This window comes from Homo sapiens, chromosome 6 (assembly GCF_000001405.40).
Source record: "Homo sapiens chromosome 6, GRCh38.p14 Primary Assembly".
Taxonomy (NCBI): domain Eukaryota; kingdom Metazoa; phylum Chordata; class Mammalia; order Primates; family Hominidae; genus Homo; species Homo sapiens.
The window spans coordinates 142,623,821-142,650,327 of NC_000006.12; the positions used below are offsets into that span (position 1 = coordinate 142,623,821).

At 38.3% G+C, this 26,507-nt stretch overlaps 1 long non-coding RNA gene across 2 annotated transcripts in view, besides 3 other annotated features; it reads right to left on the reverse strand.

Annotated features, from left to right (window-relative positions):
- LOC153910 (uncharacterized) overlaps positions 1-14,069 on the reverse strand; it is a 111,435-nt gene extending 97,366 nt beyond the window's left edge. The window contains exon 1 of one of the 2 annotated variants that reach the window (NR_027312.1): positions 13,893-14,069. This is a non-coding gene — a long non-coding RNA (uncharacterized LOC153910). The remainder of the gene's footprint in view (positions 1-13,892) is intronic. The other variant, NR_027311.1, reaches the window with a different exon arrangement.
- Positions 23,559-24,145: an enhancer, noted in NCBI's record as "H3K27ac hESC enhancer chr6:142968516-142969102 (GRCh37/hg19 assembly coordinates)". NCBI's record gives its function as "activates a minimal SCP1, AML or CMV promoter by ChIP-STARR-seq in primed H9 embryonic stem cells {active_cell/tissue: H9 hESC(primed)}" and the evidence as "EXISTENCE:reporter gene assay evidence [ECO:0000049][PMID:30033119]".
- Positions 24,146-24,732: an enhancer, noted in NCBI's record as "OCT4-NANOG-H3K27ac hESC enhancer chr6:142969103-142969689 (GRCh37/hg19 assembly coordinates)". NCBI's record gives its function as "activates a minimal SCP1, AML or CMV promoter by ChIP-STARR-seq in primed H9 embryonic stem cells {active_cell/tissue: H9 hESC(primed)}" and the evidence as "EXISTENCE:reporter gene assay evidence [ECO:0000049][PMID:30033119]".
- Positions 25,530-26,266: an enhancer, noted in NCBI's record as "OCT4-NANOG hESC enhancer chr6:142970487-142971223 (GRCh37/hg19 assembly coordinates)". NCBI's record gives its function as "activates a minimal SCP1, AML or CMV promoter by ChIP-STARR-seq in naive and primed H9 embryonic stem cells {active_cell/tissue: H9 hESC(naive and primed)}" and the evidence as "EXISTENCE:reporter gene assay evidence [ECO:0000049][PMID:30033119]".

Below are 26,507 nucleotides of genomic sequence, written 5' to 3' on the forward strand. Positions count from 1 at the left end.
CTTGAACCTGGGAGGCAGAGGTTGCAGTGAGCCAAGATCATGCCACTGCACTAGAGTCTGGGTGACAGAATGAGACTCCATCTCCAAAAAACAAAACAAAACAGAAGTTAAATTATGAGTGAATTTTACCATTTAGCTTTATATTGTGCTATGAGTTTTAAATGCCAATGTAAGAGTATTTGATGTGTATGCAGAATCACTAAAATCAAACACCTCATATTTCATAGTTTTTACATGCGTATTTATTTTGTTCTTATCAGAACAGTGGAAACACTGCACAGAACAAACTTGAATGTGTTTATTTCAATTCTTGATGCACACACATTCCACAAACTCTCCCTACCTTTGGGGTTACTGATGGCTAAGGAAAGATTGAAAGGAAAAAGAACTATTGGTTGCCCTGTCTTTCCCTTTCCTTCCATGTCAGCATGTTCAGCATAAGTGGCTGACTACTGCAAGTGAGTAACACATGTAAGAAAGGACACAATAGGGTTCCTCGGTGGTTTGAGTTTCTTGGAACACCATAGTCTTCTCTCTGTGTTCTAAGCAAGTTCCCCTTGGAATGGAAAGTGTAGCTTTTCTTGAGGCTGTCAGAAGCCCACCCCCCGCCCCCCCGCCCCTCCCAATCGCTCAGAATGAACATAACAGGTTTACCTTGCAATCACTTGGAGTCTCCTTGAACTCCATGCATTGTGGTTACCAGAATTCTGTGCTCAGAGCCACCGCACGCTCTGTGCACATGAAGTGGCAAGGAACAGCACGAGCTTCATCATTGCATTGCACTTCTACTACAAATCACAAGTTCAAAGATAATTAGGAATTTCTAACAGTGACAGCAGAGCATTAAACCAAGCGTGGGGCCCCGTGTAATTGCATAGTTTGCACAACCACAAACACAGCCCTGGGTTCTTGCCTGGATTCTCCCAGTAACTTACTATATCCTGAGCAATCCACTAATCTCTATGGGAGTCATTTTCCATGTCTGTGAAATAAGAAGGAACAAACTCTCATACTACTCAAAAATTCTATGGACCTGCACGTTTCATGCCATTTCTTTCTCATCTTTCCTTATCCATTTTACAGCAGTCTCACCCACTCCTACTCACAAGAATGTAAATTCTATAAAGGCAGGGACTTGCTCACCACTTTATCCACAATGAGTAGAACCGGGCTTAGAATATAGTAGGTCCTCTTTTAAATTTATAATGAATGAAGAAATAATAAACAACACCCTCACCACTGTACTAGCTAATCTTCCCCACTCTCTTTATTCATATAATAAGACCTAGGACCAAACACTTTAAAAGCATAGTACATTGAAACCAAAAATCAGCTCTAGCCTAATGATGTAGTTTTGATGACCTATGCGATTAATACAAATATAGTGCCAACATTTTAAATTTGGGAAATTTCACATTAGATACAACATTCCAGTTATTTTTTTAAACCCTAAAGGCATGGTGCTACTCATCTGAAGTAGAGCTGGGCACACTCTCAAGTTTGTCATAGACTTATTGGGCCTGCTTCTCTCATGAATGTCACCTGGGGTCCCCTCTAAATATTTGAGTTAGTGATCCCTGTTTTAGATCATCTGGAGAGAAATAAGAGAGATGATATTGAGGATTTCAAGTCACCCACAGTGACATGGCTTATTGGCATTTTTTTGTCTACCCTCTCAGGGCCAGCATTCTAACAAGCAAAGCATCACCATGCCTGGGCCTGCCCATGGTATGGGTAAGGGTGTGTCTCACACCAAATCCTTTTCCATAGACCCTTGGCAGTGTCTCTTTGTAGCCTCAAGTTGTCTAGTTTAATAGAAAGCCTCTGACACATAAATAATTCCTAACAAGGTCCTAATAAATCAATGAGCTAATCCTTCTCCAAAGCAATTTCATTTTAAAGAAACTCTAGCCAGAGAATTGCAATGCTCTACCCATTCATTTAATTTCAGTTGCTGTGATACCTAAGTTCAGGACATAGTTTTGATGAGAAAAGAGAGTTGAAGCACAACTAGAATCATATCAACAAGTTAATGTCTATTTTTCTGATTTTTAAAGTTTACAGTGTATATAGAACAGCTCTAAAGTAAGGTCTGTGACTTTCAAAAAGTAGATAATATTATATTTCTAAGTACTTGTGATTAGGTATAAGTTCATACTAATCAGATATGTATAATTCATAAGCACTTGGGGTGATATTTATGACCAGGTACTATTACATTAGAATATGTATATCACAGTATATATGTATGAATTAAAAATTTTCATATATATGTGTCTATGTGTGTATGTGTGTATACACACATGCACACACACACACATATATAGAGAGAGAAAAGAGATCACATTTATGATAAGCTATTAACTTTTTATAATATGTATTCAATAAACACATATCAGAATCAGAAAGATTATTGTAAATTTAAAAATGATTTCATTTGATAGTGAAAATCTATATATTCTTATAGCGCAAGACCCTGCACTGTTTTCTAATAAGATATTTAAAACCAAACCAAATGCTCAGAACATTTTTTTCCAGCAAGAAAATAAAATTGTTTCATTTGTTTTAGTCCAAAGAACATGCTTTAGCAAGGCCTTTGTCTTGAGGATTTTACCATTGTCCTTGAAACTCACTTCAAAATTTAGTCTTTTTAAAACTGCACAAGTAAAAAAGGAAACTTTCTTTCCCTATAAAATTTAATTTACATGTAAAATTAATTTGAAATCTAACATAAAGTCAGATTTTTACAAGCATTATTCCAAAACTCATGACAAGAAAAGGTCACTTGTACAATTTCATGCCTCGCACTTAATTTCTTCTTAAGTAAAGCAATTGAAAAATTCATTAATTTTTGTCTTGATCATTAGCTTGGAAGTTTTCATTTAATGAGACCATCAATTGAAGCTATTTTATGTATTCTATGGTTGCCTCTGAGGTTAACTCTCTATTACCAGTTTTAACCATGCTATAGTCCAGACAACATTTTTATTTGCTGACTTGTTCGAATAGTTACAGTTTTCTATACCCTGGGCGTTATAATTATTCTAACTTTCCTCCAAAATCTTGTGATCTTTTGCCCCCAGGGCCAGTAAGGATGCATGTTCAGTGACACCATTCAGGCTCTGCTTGCCGCTTGGAGTGGAGTTTGGAGAAGGGTGGGGATGCATTTGCCTTTCATGCCTTCTCCCATCCAATTTACCCTGAAGAGAGCATGCTACTATTTAAGTGGCCAGGGCCCTCAAAAGCCCCTGCTACTGCATATCAGATACATACATCCTGGGTTTAAAACTGTGAACAATAAATGACCTGGGCATTTTTTTTCTGTTTTTTTTTTTTTCCTACTTTACTGATTTTTCCACTTGTATTTCTCCCTCTTTCCTTATTTTGACTTTTTAGTGTCTTTGTGTGTTTTCTTAACTTTTGAATTGTATGTTTATTGCTTTTATTTTCTTTCTTTTAAAAATGTTAACATGGTTTCTATAAGCTTTTTTTGTAGAAATTCTATAATTTTGATTTGTATATTTCCTTTGACTCAAGATTTATTTTTAAAAGGATTCTTGTCTCCAATCAGGTAGATTTTACTTTTTGTTATTGGTTTCTAGTCACACTGCATATTTATATTGGCAGATGTTACTTGCATAATTTATTATTGATTTATTATTCTTTAATGATTGGGCAAGAGATCCTTTTTGTATTGTGAATTTATTTTCAAATATGTCTCAAACTACTTTTTCTTATTTTCTTGCTGACTCTTTTGGCTCTACCAGGCAGGGAGCAAGAGGGGCACAGTAGTATACAGAACACAGACGTGGACCCCAGTCAGACCCGAGTGTGAATCTCTGCTGGGCTTCCTGGCTGTGTGACTGGGGCAAAGCGATCTTTTAGTTTCAGTTTCCTCAACTGAACAAATGCTAAGATTAAAGGAGATAATGTATGCAAAGGGTTTAAAGGGGTACCAGGAAAATGGTTGTTATTCATCATCATCATCATCATCACTGTGATTACTCTTGTCTACTTCACTACCAATAAATTACTTACATAAAAATTGCTTTTATAAAATTCCTGGAGAAATTGGAAACAGTTGCCTAGCTAATGTGAATAGAGGATACAAACACACACATACATAGAGAGATACATGCATGCTATACACAATTTTATTAATCTTTTTATTAATCCTATGAAGTAAGTAAAGTGAGAAATATTCCACCCATTATATAAAGAGATCATGATTAGATAATCTATGGCACCACCTTCAATGACTAAGGAACTACTAATTCCAGGGGTTTGACCCAGGCCTTCTAATTAAAACTATATTCTACGTAATCACACATTCCTACTTGATTTAATTTATGTTGCTCAAGTAATTTCTGAGTATGCATCAGATAACTGTGAAGTATTTGTTAAAGCAGGCCATTATCAGTAGTAGTCATGGTACATGTTCCTATTTCCAAGGACAAGAATATAGGTTAAGAAATAGCCCAGTCTAATTGGATCTACATTCATGCTCTTAATGTGTAAGGGAAGCATGGGATAAGAGAACATGAGTGAAGAACAAGTTTAAGACATTTTTTGTTTGGTTATGTTTTTGACACCAGCAATCTGAAATTCTGAAAAAATCCCATTTGCAACAATGAGACATCTTAGCTGCTTTCCTCACGAAGTCCAGAGAATTGTGGATTTTTTTCAAAGCTAGAAGACCTTTGAGACGGAGGTCAGGAAAAGCAAAAGATGTTCCAACGAGTGCTGTCTGGGCAAGCCATTTCAAAATATTAAATGGGTTATTGTCTCTCAAAAAAACACTACTGGGAGCTATATTATTCTATTATATATATAGAAGCCTCATTTTATTGATATCTCCCAGGAGTTCTGAAGTGCTTTGTAACTGACTGGTTCCCCAACCCCCACCTCTGGAGAATGACAGAAAAGATAGTGATCCCGACCTTGCATCTAAACTGCCTGCACGGGCATCTTTGATGTACCTACAGCAGACTTGGACACGGGTGCTAATGCTGCACAGTGCCCCTTCGGTTCTTCTTCAGTCCAGGTGATAGATTACAGAGATAGCAGTTTGACTTTGGATTATAAAGAACACCATTGGGAGGCAGAGGCAGGTGGATTGCCTGAGCTCAGGAGTTGGAGACCAGGCTGGCCAACATGGCGAAACCCTGTCTCTAATAAATATACAAAAAAAATTAGCCAGTCATGGTGGCGCATGCCTGTAGTCCCAACTACTTGGGAGGCTGAGGCATGAGAATTGCTTGAACCTGAAAGGGTGGAGGCTGCAGTGAGCTGAGATCATGCCACTGCACTCCAGCCTGGGTGACAGAAGGAGACTCTGTCATAAATAAATAAATAAATAAATAAATAAATAAATAAATAAATAAATAAAACAATGTCCCTATAACATTGTAAAATGTTAGTTTACCAAAGAAAGTATCCATTTCACATTTGATTCCTGGGTAATTTTTAGAAAACGATCCTTTCATAAAAAGGCCTCTGTGTTTGTTTGGTGAGAAAAAACAAACAAATTCAAACCTAAAAGGAAGAGTGTGCACTGGAGTGGGAGATGTTTGCAAGGGAGTGTGCTCACCTTTCACAATGATTATTTAACAAGCATGTATTGAGCCCCTATTGAATGCTCAAAGATAATAGAAAAGTACTTTCCGTACAAGGAAGACTCCCGTTCAAAGTAGGAGTGAGATTGACAAGTGGTTCCAGATTTTCAGACACATGACCTCCTTTCAGGGCCTTCTCTTTAAATCATCAGTTTTGTTCCATTGCTAGGGAACTCCCCTTTGACATACAAGCATTCAGCTACAGCCGTGCCCAGGAACACTATGCAGCCAGGACATTTGTGTCCTGTGAGACCTGTGAGAGGTACCCCAAACCTTGGGGTACCTCTATCTCTTCTGGTCCCTTGACCACTAAAATACACTTCCTCTCTTCTTTGAAAGTGTAATGGTTTTTGCCCCTAAGAGTTGTAAAAATACCAACAGGATTTATTTCATTTTTCATCAATCTCCTGGGATGGTTGGACTGAGAGAAAAATATAGACTAGTAAATTTTCATTGTATGTATGCACAGTTGATCTGAGCATGAAATAGTACTCATTGATATGGTTGAAATATCTGCAGAAATCCACAGATCTGCCTTGCAAAACCAAGTATCAGGACACTTTGATGACATATATGCAGGAAAAGATGGTAAAAGCATAAAAATTCTCACAATCCAACTGAGAACCTAGAAAAGAAAATGCGCAAGCTGTGCACATTGAAATTTGCTTTTTAAAAAACATAAACATAAAGCTTTAGTCAATGTAGTTTTATATCAATTCATTCATACTCAGTCTTGTTTAAACTATTGTTATCTACTAATAATTAATTTACAATAAAATTATTGGATTCCTCTTTCAGCCATAATGGAATAACTGATATCAGATTTGCTTTCTTACTGTAAACAACTAGAAAACAGGGCAGAGTATAGAAAAGGATTGTTACCAGATCTTAGAAATGGCAGTACAGGATTACTATCCCTGAGAGAAAATAAACGAATGAGGTGACCCTTGTAATTGCCTCACCTTCCTTCCTTCCAGGCCACAATACTGGGAGAAGGAGCATAGCTTTCTCACTGAGCTGAGGATACAGAGTTTGGAGTTCAGGGAAGATGGAGAGACTGGAATGTGTGGTGCAGGTTGCTAGAGAAGCAATCTATGCAGATAAAAACATTCCCCAAATCTGCATGGAATCCTCTCTGGTCTTTGCCTGAATAACATGAGCACACTGTGAGAATCCACAAGACTAGGCAATAAAAAACAACTTCTGAAGAAAAACAACAAAAAGCATGGAGCTCTGTGCAGAATAATTCCCAGAGCTCACACAGGAGTGAGACACCTTTGAGATTCATCCAGCTAGTGTGGAGTATACTCTTGAAACACCCAGAATATTCAGGAGACACCCAAGACACTCCAGTCTTACTAATAAAGCTAAACTGCTTGTAGAATAAAGGTTGGCCTAAACCCATCCTAACAAGTTTTAAAATAAGCTTTAAAAATATGGAGCTCACATATAAATAACTTACTGCCAAAAGAAAATTTAATACTACTTAAAGAAAAATAAAACCCCAAAGAGACATATTGTATATATATTTATATATTTTAAGTAATATAATATATGCTAGTATAATACATAAATATATTATGCTAATATATACTATATTATTCAGTAATATATATGCTAATATAGTATATAAATATATATTGTGTTATATATATTTATATATATATTCTCTCTCTCTTATCATATATATAAATAGAGAGAGAGAGAGAGAGAGAGATACTTGCAGCAATGTGATGTTACAATGTCCAGTTTCCATTAAAACATCACTGGACATATGGAGAAGCATGAAAAATGTGACCCACAACCATAAAAAAATCAGTCAATAGGCACAGACACAGAAATAATAGAGAGATAAAATTAAGAAGGAGTTCAGAAAAGCTATTATAAATATGTTCAATTTTTTTAAACATAAGAATGTTATGGAAATTTTAAACACGAGAACATCTAAGAGAGGAGAAAGATGGAGTTGAAAAAGCAATTTGTAGCCAGGTTATGAACTATGGATGTCAGGTTCGCACACCTGCACACCCACATGGATTATACACTTGCAGAGTGGAACTGATAGGCAGAGAGGCCCTGGAGCAGGACTGCATTGGTTACCAGGCTGTAGATACCAGACACCTCAGCATGACCCTCTCAAGACACTTAATCCCACAATATCTTCCTTCCTGTCTGATAAATAGTTGTAATAATATTACCTAGTTACAGGTTATGCTGGTGACTAATTAAGTTACTGCAACCAAAGGGTTATAGAAGTGTTAGCTATTATTATGTGTGTATGTGCATGTGTGTGTATACACGCACTGACTTATATGTGACATTATTCTCTGTTTGTTTTTCTCTTACAGGTTCTGTGGGAAGTCATCACTGCTGAGAGTAGAGAATGAAATCAGCAAGTATCTAGCATATACCATATATGTGACTTCCTTCCATCTGAGTCCAGGAAGTCAGTCTGATAACCATCACAGCTTTCCTTCATCCATCCAACTCTAACTGGAACCATATGGATATTACAAAATCTCAACCTTGAACTCCCTTTAATGCAGCCAGGGGTTCAAGTTTATTTAAGTGTTTGATCTCCTGTTTTCCCTATGTATGAGATGGGAGTATTTCTCTGTCAATATTTAAAAGCTGGTACCAAATGACCTTGAGTATGGTTAAGTAGTTTTCTCTATCAGTTCATCTCTTATGGTTTGGCTCTAGTGAAGTTTAAGGAAGTGATTTGATTATAGAAGGATGTGGGATTCTACCAACTGCACATTTCTAATCTTAGTGGAGGCATTTACTTATTTCATTAAGTGTTCGCCTGGTGTCTCACCTTCTTGGAAGAGTTTTCTCATGTGTACTAGCCAGCATTCAACCAGAGAAGCAGAACCACTAGGAGATTTATATGCATGAGAATATTATAAGGGATTTCACAACTGTGGAAGCTGGTTAAGTTTCAAGTGAGATGCCAATGCAGGAAGTCCAGAGGGCAGATAGTCAGGAAGATTACTGCTATAGACTGAATGTTTGTGTCCCTACAAAATTTATTTATTAAAATTCTAACCCCCAATGTGATGGTATTAGGAGACGGGGTCTTCAGGAGGTGATTAGTTCATGAGGGTGGAGCACTCATGAATGCAGTTACTGTCTTCATAAAAGAAATCCTAGAGAGCTCTCTCCCCACTTCCACAGATGTCTCACCAGACACTGAATCTGCCGGCACTTTGATCTTGGACTCCGCAGCCCCAAGAACTGAAAGAAATAAGTTTCTGTTGTTTAGAAGCCTTCCAGTATATGATAGTTTGTTATAGAAGCCCAAATGGCCTAAGGCAGTTACAAAGTGGGGGAGAGCAAAACAAGCTGGAGCTCAAGTGCATGGAGCAGGACACAAAGGCCCAAAGACTGACTGAAACTCCTGTCCACTCTTCTTGCTCTGTCATTGGTAGCATGGGCATCCCGCAGAAGCCAGGGCCCTTCTTCAACAGAGGTAAAGACATATACCTGACCCAGAAATCAGAGAAGGGGGAGAAGGCTCCAGGGAGAGGAAAAGCAGCTGCAGACCCACGTGTTGCTTTAAGCCAACAGAGTCAGTCAACTATAGTTGATTATTTGTGTTGAAAACCAATGTATAAACTGCAGAATCATAAGGCCGCTAGAAATTGCAGAGGTCATTTATTCCAGTCTTCTATCTCCAGAAAGGCTGTGTCCAAATCTTTTCAGACAAAACCCCTGCCATCTCTCTCTTTGTGCAAGGTGTCCTCACATAGGCTTTCAACCACCCTTTGCATTATTTAACAATAGGTTGGACTCTGCTTCTATCTGTATCAATTGTAAAACTGAAATAATTTTGAAAATTTGGACTATGTATCTATTATTAACTAACATTTCTGGAAAACTTAAGTGAAAATGGAATTTGTGGATTTGTGAGGAAATAGTTGTAATTATCTACCTGGCATTGATAGTGGCTATTTATTCATTTGGTCAGTGGTCAATTTGACTGGCTACTCCAGAGTTTCATGGCTACCCTAGCTCATGGGCAAAGTGGACTGTGCTGAGACCATAACAAGCCCTAAGGCCAAAATAAACAATTTTGAGATCTGAAGTATGATAGTTCATGCCTGTAATCCCAGTGTTTGGGGAGGCTGAGGGGGAGGATTGCTTGAGGCCAGGAGTTTGGAGCCAGCCTGGACAACATAAGAGATCTCATCTCTATAAAATATATACATTATCTCTATAAAATAATAAAAACATTAGCTGGTCATGGTGGCTGGCATGTGCCTGTAGTCCCAGCTACTGGGAAGGCTGAGCTGGGAGGATGGCTTGAACCCAGGAGCTCTGGGCTGCAGTGAGCTGTGATAGCACCACTGCACTGTAGCCTGGGTGGCAGAGCGAGATCCTCTGTCAAAAAAACAACAACAACAAAAAAAAAGAGGAATACTTTCTGGGAGACTCAGGTGACCACATATTTATCTTGTTAGTAAATATTACTACTTCTAGTAAGATAATTTCCCCTTGTTTCTAACATAAACCTTCAATTTCAACAATTCCCTTTTCTTTATTCAACTTGAATCAGTAACAGAGTGTCCAGCATCTTGCTAATTAGGCCTTTGTATAAATGAAGACATTTTAGCCACACAGTTTTTCTTAAGTAATTCTGATTTCTGTAGCCATCCTACTCCTTTATTTTCTAGCCCTTTGGTCATTTCTTCCTTTCATCTCCCAAAATCTTGACAAATTCTCTTCCTATTTCCTAGGCTCTAAAACTATAGAAAAGTTAGATGGAAGACATTGTTTAAATCGGGATTAAAGATGTGCAGAGGACATTTGTGCAGCATAATTTTCTTACTATATTCAGTGTGGACATCTTCTAAACAGTATTCTGGATGGGAAGTTCGCAGCCCTTCACTGTTCCCCAGTTCTGCAATTCACTTGATCACTTTGTCTTGATGTAGTCCTCGTGTCATTTTAAAGGCTTTATCTTAATAGCTTAAGCTGCACTTATTATATTTTATATCATATAAACAGTCTGTAAAGAGACCTTAAAAGGCAAATAGATTTTTTTTTTTTTTTTTTTTGTTAATCACAACAAGGAAAAGGATGGTTCACCTTCACCTCCTTGAGGTTGTTATGCTTTGTTTGCCAAGCAATCCGGAATAAGAATTATGCAACAGAATTCTAATAGAACACTCTCAACTGTCAATATCATGTACAGATCATGTCTACCAGTGGCATTACTGAAGGTGAATAGTGAATACTGTCTTCACAGGAATTCTGCATGGGACAGTGATTTGCTTTGCTCTCCTGTTACCTCTAGACTATTTAGATCTTCTCAGAAGAAATGTGATGGATATTGTCTTTGTCTGCCCAAGTTGCCATAGTAAAATACCATATACTGGGTGTTTTAAGTTACAGAAATTTATTTCTTACAGTTCTGGAGCCTGAGAAGGCCCAGTCAAGGGGCTAGACAGTTCTGTTTCTCCTGAGGGCCTTCTTCCTGGTGTGCAGATGGCACCTTCTTTCTGTGTCCTTGCTTGGCAGAAGAGAGCATGCTCTGGTGTCTCTTCCTTTTTCATAAGGGCACGAGCCCTGTTGGAGTAGGACCCCACCTTCATGATCTCTATTAACCTTTATCATCTACTCACAGGCTCTATCTCCAAATACAGTCACATTGTGGGTTAGGCCTTCAACATGTGAATTTGGGGGAATACAAAAATTCAGTCCATAACATTCTGCCCCTGACCTCTCAAATTTTAAATTCTTCTTCCATGCAAAATACTTTCATTTTGTTCCAACAATTCCAACCCTAAAAGTCTAAATTCATTCCACCATCAGCTCTAAAGCTTAAAGTTCAAAGTCTCATCTAAACATCTAAATCAGATATAGATGTGAATCACAGTATGATTCATTCTGAGGCAAAATTCCCCTGCAGCTTGTGAACCTGTGAAACCAAATGAGCTATGGGCTTCCAAAATACAATGGTGAGAATAGACATTCCCATTCTCAAAGAGAGAAATTGGGAGAAAGAAAGTGGTGATGTTCTCAAGAAGACCCAAAACCGAGGAGGGCAAATCCATTAGACCTTAAGGTTTGAGAATAATCCTCTTTGGCTTGACGTCTGTGATTATTAATACTGAGTGTCAACTTGATTAGATTGAAGGATACAAAATATTGATCCTGGGTGTGTCTATGAGGGTATTGCCAAAGGAGATTAACATACGAGTCAGTGGACTGGGAAAGGCAGACTCACTCTTAATCAGGATGGTCACAGTCTAACCAGCTGCCAGCATGGCTAGATTATAAGCAGCCAGAAAAATGTGAAAAGACAGACTGGCCTAGCCTCCCAGCCTACATCTTTCTCCCATGTTGGATGCTTCCTGCCCTCGAACATCAAACTCCAAGTTATTCAGTTTTGGGACTTGGACTGGCTCTCCTTGCTCCTCAGCCTGCAGATGGCCTATGGTGGGACTTTGTGATAGTATGAATTAATACTTAACAAACTCCCCTTTATATATATATATTATATATAATATATGTTAAATATATATAAGTATATATAGTATATATAATATATATTAAATATATTTAATTTTATATATATTAAATTATATATTATATATAATTTAATATATATAAAATTAAATATATTATAAATATATATTTAATATATATTATATATATAATATATATATATTCCATTAGTTTTGTCCCTCTAGATAACCCTAATACAATGTCCCAACTTCCAGCCTTCCTGGGATGGTAGTGTCATTCCACAGCTTTGCAGAGCCACCCTGTTCCTCCAGCTATCTGGGAGGGACCTGCCCCCACAACTGTCTGAGAGGGCCCCACCCCTGAGGCTCTATGTGAGGGCCACATAGCTCTATGCCAGATCCTCTTTCTCTGAAACCAAGGAGAAAACAGTCTTACCCCTTGGGCCTGTGGCAGGAGTGGCAGTCCTGCCTATCTCTGAATTCACTTCAGGGCCATTCTTCCCTTTTCTTGAAGAACAGTGCATCTTCACAGCCAAATACCTCTATGGTCCTGCCCTGTAGAATCCAAGCAGCCTTGACAGCCTTCCTTTATTTTGTCCCATCTCCATCCCCTTTCCTTCAAACTGGCAGAGTTTCTGCTCATATACGCCACAAACTCTTTGTCAAGTGATAGTTCAGCCACACCTTTGATGTTCTCTTTAGAACATGCTTTATCTTTTTTTGCAATATGGATAGACTGAGGATTTTCTCAATATTTAATTTCCCATATTTTTGGGGGTTTTTTGTGAGTTGGTTGGTTTGGGATTTTATTGTTTGTTTGCTTAACAATTCCTTCTTCAATTTATCTCTCTCTTCTTGTGTTTTACTATAAGCAGTCAGGTGATACCAAGCCACTGCTTCAACACTTTGCTTAGAAATCTCTTCAGCTATATAACCAACTTCCTTGCTCTCAAGTTTTACCTTCTGCAAAATGTGAGGACACACAGTTCAGCCAAGTTTGTTACTTTATAACAAGGATAACCTTTCCTTGAGTTTCCTATAACATGTTCCTCATTTCTATCTGAAACCTCACCAGAATGGCCTCTAATGTACATATTTCTACCAATATTCTGTTCATGATTATATCCCAGCCCAAGGAAGTTGGGTGGGACAGGTTTCCCCTTACTCATGGGAATGTCAGCCTTCTGTCCTGTTCAGGCCCTCAACTAACTGAATGAGACCCACTCAAAATATGGAGGACAATAAGCTTTACTCAGTCTACTGAATCAAATGTTGGTTTCATCCACAAACACCCTCACAGACACATCCAAAATAATGCCTGAACAAATATCAGGGCACCCCATGGCCGTGGCAAGTTGGCATATAAAATTCACCATCACAGGTACCTTCTATTTTACTTCCAAAATTTGTCTGGATTTATTGACAGGATATGTTTTTTATTGTCTGTTTAATTGATTCATCCAACAAAAATTCATGAGTTACTATTATGTGCAGAGCTATACAATTTCCTATATTCTGTACAAAATTCTGACTGCTCAGAGAAAGACTTTTTTCATTTACCACTTAAGCAGAGGAGGGAATAATTACTTTCTTTCCCTTTAAGAGACATACGATATTTGAGAAAATGCTGGTTAGTGGAATACCTGTTCTCAGCATGGTTTTCCAACACTTTAGACTTACAAATAAGTGACCTGTTACAGACATTGATGTTGGCAATATCAGTAGGTCTGAGACGCAGACCAGGGTAACTATATTGGAAACCTACAGTGAAAATCATATATAAAAAGAAAAAATATTCACTTACTTGCAACTGTAGACACGTGCTGATGAGAAGGGAGTGAGAGCTGAAATCACTGGTCATTCCAAATGGTCTGAGGGCCCAGTCTCAGCCCTAACCCTGCCAGAGAAGGGCAGGTTTCTAGGGGCTGTTTGATTTGTGGACTCTGACTCAGCAGGGCTTCAGCAGCACTTACATCATGTAAAAGAATGATTTGATGCAAGCCTCATTTAAAGGGTCACTAGATAGCTATGATTTTTGACGTCTGCCTGTTTCTGCTCAATGCGTGTAGAAACAAAAAACAAAACATTTTGATCAATCTAGCTCCCTTCAAAAAAAGGTAAGATAGTAGTGACTGTACAGATAACAAGGTCACTTCTCGATAATATCTAGATGTAGACAAAAGAAAACAGCAATAAAGAGCCATAGTATCTCACGACGGTGAGATCATTGTGACAACACACTGATTCTTCAGGGAATGTGCCTGTGTCTAAGACACTTTCTCAGTATGTATTTAGGAGCCCATTCTGCAGTGCGAGCGCTAAGCTATTTCCCATTTTAGTGGTATCTATAACAGATAATAAAAATCACTGGATATTTACAAAAACCTTATCTACGGAAAGGAAAGAACCAAGTTTCCAACAAATACATCAGAGTTTTGTGAAAGAAAATCAATTCAGCCAGATGCAGTGGCTCATACCTGTAATCCCAACACTTTGGGAGGCTGAGGCAGGAGGATCACTTGAGCCCAGGAGTTCAAGACCAACCTGGGCATAGCAAGACCCTGTCTCTACAAAAAATAAAATAAAATAGCCAGGCTTGGTTGCACATGCCTTATTCCCAGCCTCTGACTCGGTGGGGCATCAGCAGTGATGCCCTCTATTCAGAGGCTGAGGCAGAGGAATCACTTGAGCCTGAGAGGTTGAGGCTGCAGTGAGCCATGATTATGCCACTGCACTTCAGCCTGGGCAAAAGAGTTCTTTTCTTTTTTTTTTCTTCCAAAAAAAGGAAAGAAAGAAAGAGACAGAGGAAAGAAAGAAAGAAAGAAAGAAAGAAAGAAAGAAAGAAAGAAAGAAAGAAAGAAAGAAAGAAAGAAAGAAAGGAAGAAAGAAAGAAAGAAAGAGAAAGAGAGGAAGGAAGGAAGGAAGAAGAGGGAGGGAGGGAGAGAGGGAGGAAGAGAGGAAGAAAAAGTAAGGAAGGAAGGAAGGAAGGAAGGAAGGAACAAAAAGGAAGGAAGAGAGGGAATAAATTCATAGGTAAAGGGGGAACTCAGTAAGTATAATCTCAACATCCAAAAGTCCTTCAAAAGGGCTTATTCAAATATCTATCATGGAAATTGCCTTCCAATGTGACTATCCTTACAGTCTGTGGTGACTAGAGAAAAAGATTGATTTATCAGTAACAGAGAAATGCCTTGTGTAAGGATAAATGGGCACTGAAATAGATGAAGGATTTTACACCATGGAAGATCAGTATTCTAACTAGTTTCATGTAATAAGTAAATGTCATGGAGGAGTCAGGAGGGGAATGTAGAAGTTTAAAGATGGAATTAAACTCTTTGGAGTAGTGAAAACACCACATTAATGAGGAGTACAGGAGATTTAACTTGGTCTAATGAACGGAGAAAAATTGCAGATAAATTTCTTTGTGAGTAAGCACAAAGTACTGCAATTATAGATATAAACTTACGGACACTGAGCTATAATTTATAGCCCAGATAATGGTTTTGGAAAGTTACGAAGGGTATTGTGAAGACGTGATGCTTAAAGTTATTTTAGCAATAGATAATGAATACATAAGTGAAGACCCTAAAGATATTGGCCAGTTGAGGCACTGTTTATAAAGCCCAGAAAAATACTGAATATCATCAAAGCCCTCAAACCCCAAGCACATCTTTTAACATTTATTACATTACCATGGGTTCAATATTAATACAGAATGGGATCTTATATTAACATGTCATATGGAAAGATAAGTAATCAGACCAAGCCTGTCATTGAAAGCATCTAAAATTTCCTGAAAGCATATTTTAAGATATTTCTAAAAGCACTGAAAAGCTAGCAAGATAGCATTAATAAACCAACACAGAAACCCAAAGAGACGAACAGAGCACCAAGACCACTTTTGCCCTAAGGACTTCAAGCTAAGAATTTAAAGTTTTAGAGAGAGACAATATATTATAGAAAAAAGTAACCAGCTAACTTGATGCTAGACCAGATTGCCTAGGTTTAAATATTAACTCACCACTTGACTTTGAGCCAGTGATTTAACCTAAGTTTTTCAATTATGGAATGGGTTAATGATAGTGCCTCTTAGGGTTGACATGAAGATTAAATAAATTAAAGCACATAGAGCAGTATCTGACAAATAGGGAGCTATACATAAGTGTAAACAAATTTCAAAGTATTTAAGAAAAAATAAAAAATGGGAAAGAGGGGAATGTGATTGGGGAAGGCAGATGGAGCTTTCTGGGTGTTTGTAATGTTGTTCTTGACCATATTGGAGATTACGCAGAGGTTCACTTTAGTATTATTGTTGAATGATATAACTGTATTTTATTCACTTTTCTGTATGTGGTTGTATCTTATTTTTAAAATGGAGTAACCCTGGGGGAGTGGTTCTCAAATATTTTGTGCTCAGGTCCCTTTAAAGTCTTCAAAACTGTTGATCATTACAAACAACTTTTGTTTACAAGTTACATGTATCAGTTATGATTTTAAAAATGAAAACTAAGAAGTTTTAAATAGTTACTAATGAATTTAAAAATCACAACAACAATTACATGGTAACATAAATTACATATTTTTAAAAAATTGCTTTATTTTTGGAAACCAAAAACAATTAATGAGAAAAGTGGCATTTAAAAAGATTTTTGCAAATTGCTTCAATATCTGGCTTAATAAAATCCAGCTAAATTCTCATATCTTCTGCTCTCAATTTGTTGATATTTGTTGCTTTGGTTAAAGTATATGAAGAAAATCCAGCCTTATACAGACATGCCTTTGGAAAAAAAAGGGAACATTTAAATTGGCTTTTTAGATATTTGTGAATATTCTTCTTTGATACAATATCAAAAGTAGACAAGAGGTAATTTCTTAAATGTTGCTGCAATGTAGAATCAAATTATATCAATAAAATTTTATACATCTGTGCCTCTAACTTTCAGTTTGAATGAATCTTTTATTCATTCATAAACTCCTATTCGTTCCCTGAGTTAGGCAGATCTCCCAAATGTTAACACATTTTACTAGGCAATATCATAAGTGGCATTCATTAATATCACCTCCAATCTCATCGGAAACTTTTTAAGTACTAGAAAACTGTCATATTAAAAATGGCAGATTACATTTTCCAAAGTTTCAATTTTCTCTTGAAAGCTTTAATTTTATCATTAGCAACAAAGAGTGATGATTGTTTTCCTGAACTGACAGTCTGACATTAATTTTCAAGAAAATGTCTGCCCTATACCCAAACATGAATAACTGTATCTCATCTGTTAGTAGCTCTTTCAAAAAAAAAAAAAAAAAAACCCCTGATATTCTTGGGAAAAGTGGCTAATTCAGGTTGCAACTGAAACAATCTCACATTGCTTGCAATAGCCATCATACTTTGGTGTGCAACAGAAATGGCCTATGTACATTTCCCATTTGGTCATAACGCAAACCTAAAAAGATATATATTCAAGTATCAAAATTTTAAATGGTAACATGTTTACTGCTTCAACAAGGGCATTCTTAAGTGAAATTGTCTTACTCTTTTTCTTTTTACTGCAAATGTGTGGTTTGGGTAACAAGAAAGACAACTTGGCCTTTCATCCACTGGTCTTTAGTTCCAGTAAGAGATAAGACACACGCTTGAAATGTCCAGGCCAATATGAAAAGTCTTATGTTCATCTTGTTGAGGGACATGCAAACACCAGGAGTTCACTAAACTTCATCATGACATTATGCAACCTAACCATTCCTGTGCATCTTTCTGATCAAACACATTGATAAATATTCACCTGGAAAGGTATATTTTGTGCCTATTTCAAAGCAAGAAAAAATTGGTCCAATTTAAACCTAGAAATAATACCTCTCCTACAATATTTTAAGCATTAATTCAGGCAATTCCGTCTACATATCTGAATGGTCTTGGATCAAAAATGCCTTAATTTATTTATTCCAGTTTTCTGAGTACTTCACTAGATCACCAAAAACATGCTATGAAAAGGCAAAAGTTCAAATAACAAAAATCTAGTATGAGGGGTCTTCAAAAAATCCATGGAGAATGTATATTGTAAAAAAAAAATGCTTGGATTTCAAATTTTTTTCAGCAAAATAAATTTGCACTAATTTGTTAGAGAGTGCAAAAAGAATCTAGTTGGAAGCACTGATAAAGAAAAGTTTGAAAAGAACCTCTATCAGAAAAACATGAATTCTGCTAAAACTGAAGCAAGAACAAACATCAAATTTATGATGAAACTTGGGTGAAAGAATGGTAAAATAATTGATGATTTACAAAAAGTTCCAGGAACCATGCCCCAAAGAAACCAGCAGTTTACAAATGTGTAGCTTATTTTAAGAAGGGACAAGGTGACATTGAAGTTGAAGCCCACAGTGGCAGACCATCCACATTAATTTACAAGAAAAAAATTAACCTTTTTCATGCCCTAATTGAATAGGAATAACAATAACTGCAGAAACCATAGCCAACACCATAGACATCTCAATTTTTTCAGCTTTCACAATTCTGACAGAAAAATTAAAGCTGAGCAAGCTTTTCACTTCATGGGTGCCAAGACTGTTGCAACCAGATCAGCTGCAGACAAGAGCATAGATTTCAATGAAAATTTCAAACAAGTGGAATCAAGATCCTAAAGCATGTCTTCAAAGAATTGTAACAGGATAGGAAACCTGCCTTTACCAGTATGATCCTGAAGACAAAGCACAATCAAAGCAGAGGCTACTAAGAGGTGGAAGTGGTCTAGTCACAGCAGAAATGGATGGTCAAGAGCAAAGGTCATGGCAATGGTTTTTGGGGATGCAAAAAGCATTTTTCTTGTTGACTTTCTGAGGGGCCAAAGAATGATAACATCTGCTTATCATGACAGTGCTTGGAGAAAGTTATCCAAAGCTTTAGCAGAAACATGCACGGAAAATATTCACTGGAGTGTCCTTCTCTACCATAACAATGTTATTTCTCTCATCAAACTAGGGACATTTTGCAAGAGTTTTTATGGTGAATCATCAGGCATCCACCTTACAGTCCTGATGTGGCTCCTTCTGCCTTCTTTTTGTTTCCTAAACTTATAAAATTTTTAAAGGGCATCCATTTTTCTTCAGTTAATAATGTAAAAAAGACTGCATTGACATGAGTAAATTCCCAGGACCCTCAGTTCTGTAGGGGATGGACTAAATGGCCGGTATTATTGTTTACAAAAGTGTTTTGAATTTGATGGAGCTAATAAAGTGTATATGATAGTGTTTTTATGAGAAATAAAGTTTATGTTTTTTATTTATTTAATTTCATTTTCTATGAAATTTTTGAAGTCCCTTCACATACTTCTTAATTCAGAGATTTAAGTTCAACAAATTTAATCTACAAAGAGTTTGAAACCACACACACACACACACACACACACACACACACACACTTCTCAGACAGCTCTTTGTGAAAATAAAAGCAAAGGCTTTACCCTTAGGAGGATTAGATAACATGTGAATGAATATGAGGCCAAACATAAAACCTGGAGTGTCTATGCTGAGTTGGCAGTGATGGGGATGTGAGAAACTGCAGGTGCTGATGTCAGGGTAGGAGGTAAAGAAGCAGAGGTGGGCTTACTTGATGATAGCATTGTTATCGTACTCTATTCAAGTGGTATAGAGTGCACTTTATATAAAGTTCACTGTGGGAAGAAAAATTCTAGAAAAATTATGTTTAACCCAGTTGCTACAGTTAAATGCAGTGTAAAACCAGAAATAAACCAAAGAATCTTAAGTAAGACCATAAGCTTTGATGACTGTATCAGTTTTCTATTGCTTTATAACAAATTACACTTAGAGGTTTAAAACAACACCCACCCATGTATTAGTTTACAGTTTGGTAAGTCACAAGTCCCAGCACCGTGTAACCAGATTATCTGCTCAGGGTCTTATGAGACTAAAGTCAAGTTGTCAGCCAGGCTGCATTTCTTTCTGGAAGCTCTGAGGAAGAATCTGCTTCCACACTCATGCAAGTTGCTGGCCAAATTCAGTTAGTTCCTTGCATTTGTAAGATGGAGGTCCCTATTCCCCTGCAGGATGTCAATCACAGCCACTCAGATCTCAGAGGCCACCCATATTCCTTGCCATGTGGCCAGTACTGAAGAAAACTATCTGTGCAGTGAAGGCTGCTTGGAATTTCATCTCTTGGACAAGGTTTATATTCATGTTTTATCTCATGTAATCACATTTAGACATGAGTAAAGAGTGGTCTTGTTTTTGTTTTGGTGTATTATGCTCACAAAGTGGCCTTATTTGATATTGATGTCCCATGAAATCATTTGTGTTCAACGACAGCACATCAAAGCCTAGCTGAAGCACCAGGCTGGCCCCTTGATGTCTGCAGCATAAGGGGCAATTGGATGACCAGAGTGGTGCTAAAGTACTGAATTTGGAGGAATCTCACTCTGTTACACTTAGGACAAGTTTGGGGCTCGAGGATATTGATGATCTGCTACAGATCCTTGGGCATGAATCCCGTGTGTGGGCTCTTGCATGAGCTCTCCTCCTACTGTGGCCACCTCCCATTCTACAGGACCAGAGAGTAGAATGTAGCATGTGCAATATCCTGTGTGTCCTCATCACTGGTGCCCAGCATGGTCACCTTACGTCCTCTATAAGCTCCATGTGACTTATCAGGCAGTCCTCCACTGGGGGTAGCTGTACTTACCTCAGGGCTCTCAAGTCCTTTGTTCTGTGACATTAATGCACCCTTCAAATAGGTATCCTCCTTGCTCCCAATTAATGTGTTGATATCATTGCTCACCATAAGCCATGCTAACAGGCATTGCTTAAGTGGGTGGACTACTCTACCATGGTCCCTTCCCTATTCTCCCCTGATGGAAATTTGTGGAAGCCAGGGATATGGTCATTATTGAAAGAGATCATATAATTACAACCTGAAGAATTCCAGAGGTCATGGTTGGAAGATGTGTTCCTCTATGTTTATGCTATAAAACTCCTAATGGTAAATTTAACATGAGAAGGAAACAAAATACTGTCTGTATTTTCCCACGTACTCTGGGGGCAACCTTTGCAGTCATCATCAACAAAACAAAGTAACAACCTTTGAAAGAGTCACTAAAAGCCCACACTCATGGGCTGCTTTTGGTTGACCCAGCATCCTGAGCAATGATGTCACCAGCATCGAATCGATGATGTCAGTGAACTGTAGCAGCAAGAAGATCTGTGTTGTTTCTATCAAACATTCTGAAGAGCCATGGCATTGTGAGTTGCAAAATTTTTCCCACTATGGGATATATGAAATTAGCCAGGGGCAGCATTTTTGACAATTAAGAACATGAACAGATGATTTCTAAACCTGAACAGGAAGAGATGGTGCCTAGACACCCTAAAGATCTTTCATGTGCCCTGCTGAGAATTTACACAAATATGTAACCACTTCTCTACCCATTATTCTATTATCTTCATTCAATTCTTGCTTGAATTGTGTAATACATTCTCAAATCAAAATGTTTATACTGACAGTGATCCTACAAAAAGTGTTTTCCAGGCCAGGCACGGTGGCTCCCACGCCTGTAATCCCAGCACTTTGGGAGGCCGTGGTGGGTGGATCACCTGAGGTCAGGAGTTCAAGACCAGCCTGTCCAACATGGTGAAACCCCATCTCTACAAAAATACAAAAATTAGCCAGGCATGATGGCGGGTGCCTGTAATACCAGCTACTCGGGAGGCTGAGGTGGGAGAATCACTTGAACTCAGAAGGCAGAGGTTGCAGTGAGCCGAGATTGCACTATTGCACTCCAGCCTGGGTGACAGAGAGAGACTCTATCTCAAAAAAAAAAAAAAAAGTGGTTTCAGCATACACCCTAGGAGATGCCTTGCAGGGAAGGCTTCCTGAAGAAGTCAGGTTTAAGATACAAAAGTATGTTTAGGAGTTAAGTAGACAAAGAGGAGAGTGAAGTTTGTTCCAGTCAGAGAACATGTGCAAAGGTCCTGTGGTGGGAAGGACCAGGTGAGTGTGAGGGACTAAAACAATACAATACATTCTAAAGGACAGTCAGTGGATTCTGATAATAGTCTGGTTCCCCACTCACCAAAGGACTGGTAAAAAGCCTCAGTCAGTATAACATCGTTGTGTGTGTTCCCATGTACCTGCCCTATGCTTGCTCCCCATCTCAGCTTCTTGCTTGGGGCCGTGACTGCTCACAGGAGATGGTTTCTAGTCTTTGCTCCTTGGCTGGAAGGAAGAGAGCTACACCTCTCATTCCTTAATTGCAGTCCTTCACAGCTACAGCTTTGGAATTCTTCTTTCTGTCATGGCTATGGGAGGATATTTTTTAATGCCTGTGGTGGAAAGAGTACTCCTTGCTTAGTGAGAGAGATTGAACAAACCCCTTGTTGTGTAGAAGAATACAAGTGGCGACATTCCTCTGCAATAAGGCTAATGCTTCCCCTTGCAACTGATGCTTGGAATATAACTGTTTAGTCACCTTACATCCAGTAATGCAGGGGCGGTATCAGAGCTTTGCTTCAAAGCTGAAATGAAGATCAAAACTAATATAAAGTATAGGGGGAAGCAGCATTAAGTAGGCCCAGGGTCCGCATCTTTTCTTTTAAGTTTTGTCCCAGTGGATCTGAATTGCTTTTATCCAATGATTTTTTCCCCAGGCTTTAATCCCATTGGCTTTTTTCTCAGGTGAAAAACAAATCCCAAGTGTCTGTGCTGTGTGCCTACTGGTAAGGTAAAGAAATCTGTCTGAAGAGTGAAATCTTGACATAGACCCAGCCATTCTGAGGAAGGGGAACAGTACCAAGGCTGAGAAAAAAAATGGGATTAATGGGAATTGGAGGGGCATAGGTGTTACACACAAAGCCTTGGGAGAGTATCTCCTCTGAGAAGCCTCCTTTGATTTACACTCCCCACCGCCCCCACCTTAATTCTCAAACTGCCTAAGACTTAATAGAATATATGCATTTTTTTTCCAACTTAATCTCAGCCAGATTGAAGCCAATCTCCACCAGATTGAAGGGAGCAGCTGGATCATGGGATGCTAGTGCTTGGAACTAGAAGGAGAGCTCATCTGAGACATGCTGATTGTTGACACTTCTGAGCGGATTGCAAGAACGAAGAAACGAAGGAACATCTTGACTCCTTACATACACTGCAAGTCCCTTGAGTGAAAAAATGACTCTCCTTATCCTGAAAATCTGAAAATACTACCTCAAAAATCAACTCAATACATGTTTTGTCATAATGTGATTATGTGCTTTGTGCCAGTTTTGTGAATCATGTCTTACAGATAACGGTGTTGATATCGACAGTAATGTTTCTGGTAAAGGAGTTTTGGCTCCAAGAAAGAAAAAGAAAAGAAGATCCTGCCCCATGTGCAGGTCTACTCAGCTATGGCTCAGGAGGGCATTTGGGGTAAAATCCTTTGTTTTTTGGATAAAAGAAGAAAGACCCAGGAATTACATATATATGCCTCTGTAAATATGTCAAAGGGTGAGCAACATTCACTCAAAACAAGGAACGTTTAATGAATGCCTGCTGTGTGTCAAAGGATTCTCAAGCAGTCACATATTTAATCCACCAAATTACCTAGGGTAATTTTACACCAACTTTTCACTTGAAACTGAGATCCAGGGATGTTGTGCCTTCCTGAGGTTATTCTGCAAGGAAGGGCTGGAGTTTGCAGCCAGAGCCTCTGTCTCTGTTTCAAAGCTCACTTTGCAACTCCATAGTTGCCAAAACTGTGGGATGCAATTGACAGTTCATTCTGATGGAGAGTGCGTCCAGAAAATATTTGTTTAAGACAGAAATCCAGATTTGTTCAAAACAGCAATATCCTCTTCAGCCAGTTGTTTGCACAGACATCTTTGCTGCCATCCAGGAAAATCTGAGCACATACCTTCCCGGTGCTTCCCTGCCCTGAGCCAATGCTGTCCTTATTTGACAAGGAAGGGCAGGACAGCCTGTAGCCAAGACTAGGGGACACAACACTGAGTTTCTCTGCTCCCGGGCCCCAGAGAAGTCACTCAACTATAGAGCTGGAGGGACCGCCAGCCTCTGGGAAACGCTGCTCTTTAACCAAACCAGAAAGATCATTGTCTGCCTGTTTTTTGACAGTCAGATAAGAAAACGCCACAGATTCCCTTGAAGAGTCATCCTGGTCAATCAGAAAACTTTTCTCTAAATGGTACGCAGCAAAAACAGAAAGGGTAATTATTAACCTTAACATAGGGATTCCAGATGGCAATCTGTTCTTTCATCTCAATTAAGGGGAAATGGCAGAGACAAAAGTCAAGATATGAAAAACGGAAGAGGCACTGCCTGTGGGTGCTTCAGCTTAGCATTTCAATGGTTTTAGAGCTGGATCTCTATTAGGCAAAACTGAGGTCTCTTCTCAGAAGGTGGACTATCATTTCACTAACAGGATGTTGAGTATTTCTCTCTGATCCCTTGAGTACATGTATGGCAAGTACGTCTCATTACACAAGAATAAGACTAATAGAATTGCTTCCAATATTTTTTGGATGGATATGGTGGGAGGCCATTGAGAAACAGAAGCCAGATTTCACACATATTTAATTTTAAAATACTATTTAAATAGTATTAAGCTTTTCCATGCTTCCGTATTGGCTTGAAATTCATAATGTCATGATTCAAAACACTTTTTCTCTAACTTAGTGATTCAAAATACGTATTTATTAAAGGAAATGTATTGTGCATTGAACTTTTTAAGTTTTCTTTCTTGGAGCTTAATCACAGAAAAACAATTAATAAACAGAACCTTTGCCCAGCAGTCAGTTCTTTCACTGTTAGCTGTGGAATCAAACCTGTCTCTGTGTTTCCCTTGACACACCAACACTAACACCTAACTAGAGCTATACTGACTGCTTGAGGATTCCTGAATATGAATAGTATTTTCTCTACTTTATTATAAATATTTTGAGGTAAATAGCTGAGGCTTTGGAATCAAACAGAGCCAAAGTCAAACTACTAACTCACTATATGTTCTTGGGCAAATTATTTTTCCTCCATGAGCCTCAGTTTTCTCATCTGTTAAATAGGGATAATAATAAATACTTCATAAGATTGTCATTGAAGAATTCATTAGCTAATACATGTAATGTAGGTGTTCAATGAAAGGTAGCTTGTTTTTATCCCCGTTGTTGTTATTAACTTCCTCTTTGTATTAATTTTTTTCTGACAGAAAATAAGTTCTCATTCTTACTTATATTTTCAACCATTGAAATTCCACCTGTTATCGAATGTCCTCTCTCAGGAGCTTCCCCAGTCCTCTCTGCTAGAATTGAATTATCCATTATCTCTAATCCTATGCCTTGTGTAGCACTTGCCACTTATTACACTGTGCTCTAGTTTCTTTTTGCACAAATCTCATCTTCCTAATTAGAATGAAAGCCTCAGGAGGGCAGGAAGCAAAATGATTTTTCCTGTAAAATACCTTTTGAATGTCTGTTGAATGAATATTGAAGACTTCCCTATTTCGTTTTGCATTATTTTTTGAATAAAAACAGAAATGATTTTTCATTTTAGTATTTTTTTAAATTTTAGAATTTAGATATGTCAATTTAGTAAATGTTTCTGTCAGGCCTCTGAGCCCAAGCCAAGCCATTGCATCCCCTGTGACTTGCACGTATACGTCCAGATGGCCTGAAGTAACTGAAGAATCACAAAAGAAGTGAATATGCTCTGCCCCATCTTAACTGATGACATTCCACCACAAAAGAAGTGTAAATGGCTGGTCCTCGCCTTAAGTGATGATATTACCTTGTGAAAGTCCTTTTCCTGGCTCATCCTGGCTCAGAAAGCACCCCCACTGAGCACCTTGCGACCCCCACTCCTGCCCGCCAGAGAACAACCCCCCTTTGACTATAATTTTCCTTTACCTACCCAAATCCTATAAAACGGCCCCACCCCTATCTCCCTTCGCTGACTCTCTTTTCGGACTCAGCCCACCTGCACCCAGGTGAAATAAACAGCCATGTTGCTCACACAAAGCCTATTTGGTGGTCTCTTCACACGGACGCACATGAAAGTTTCATCCTGAAGTTAAGACGTAATAGTTGAAGTCAGGATGAAAACATGTATTGCTGAATGGTCTTATTCTTTTGCTCTGACAGGGCACTGCAGCCATTTGCCTTTGACTCCCTGTAAGTAGACACCATTCCTCCCATATCTAGGTGGTAACACTTCCAAAACAACCTGCAATGCAGCCATGTAACCTCCAGTCCTGCTCCAGTTTTCTCACCTATAAAATAGGTGGGGGATATAATCAGATGACTTTTAAAAGACTGTATTTTTCTTTTCTTTTCTTTATTTTATTTTATTTTATTTTAGGGAGACAGAGTCCTGCTCTATCCCCCAGGCTGGAGTGCAGTGGCACGATCTTGGCTCACTGCAACCTCCACCTCC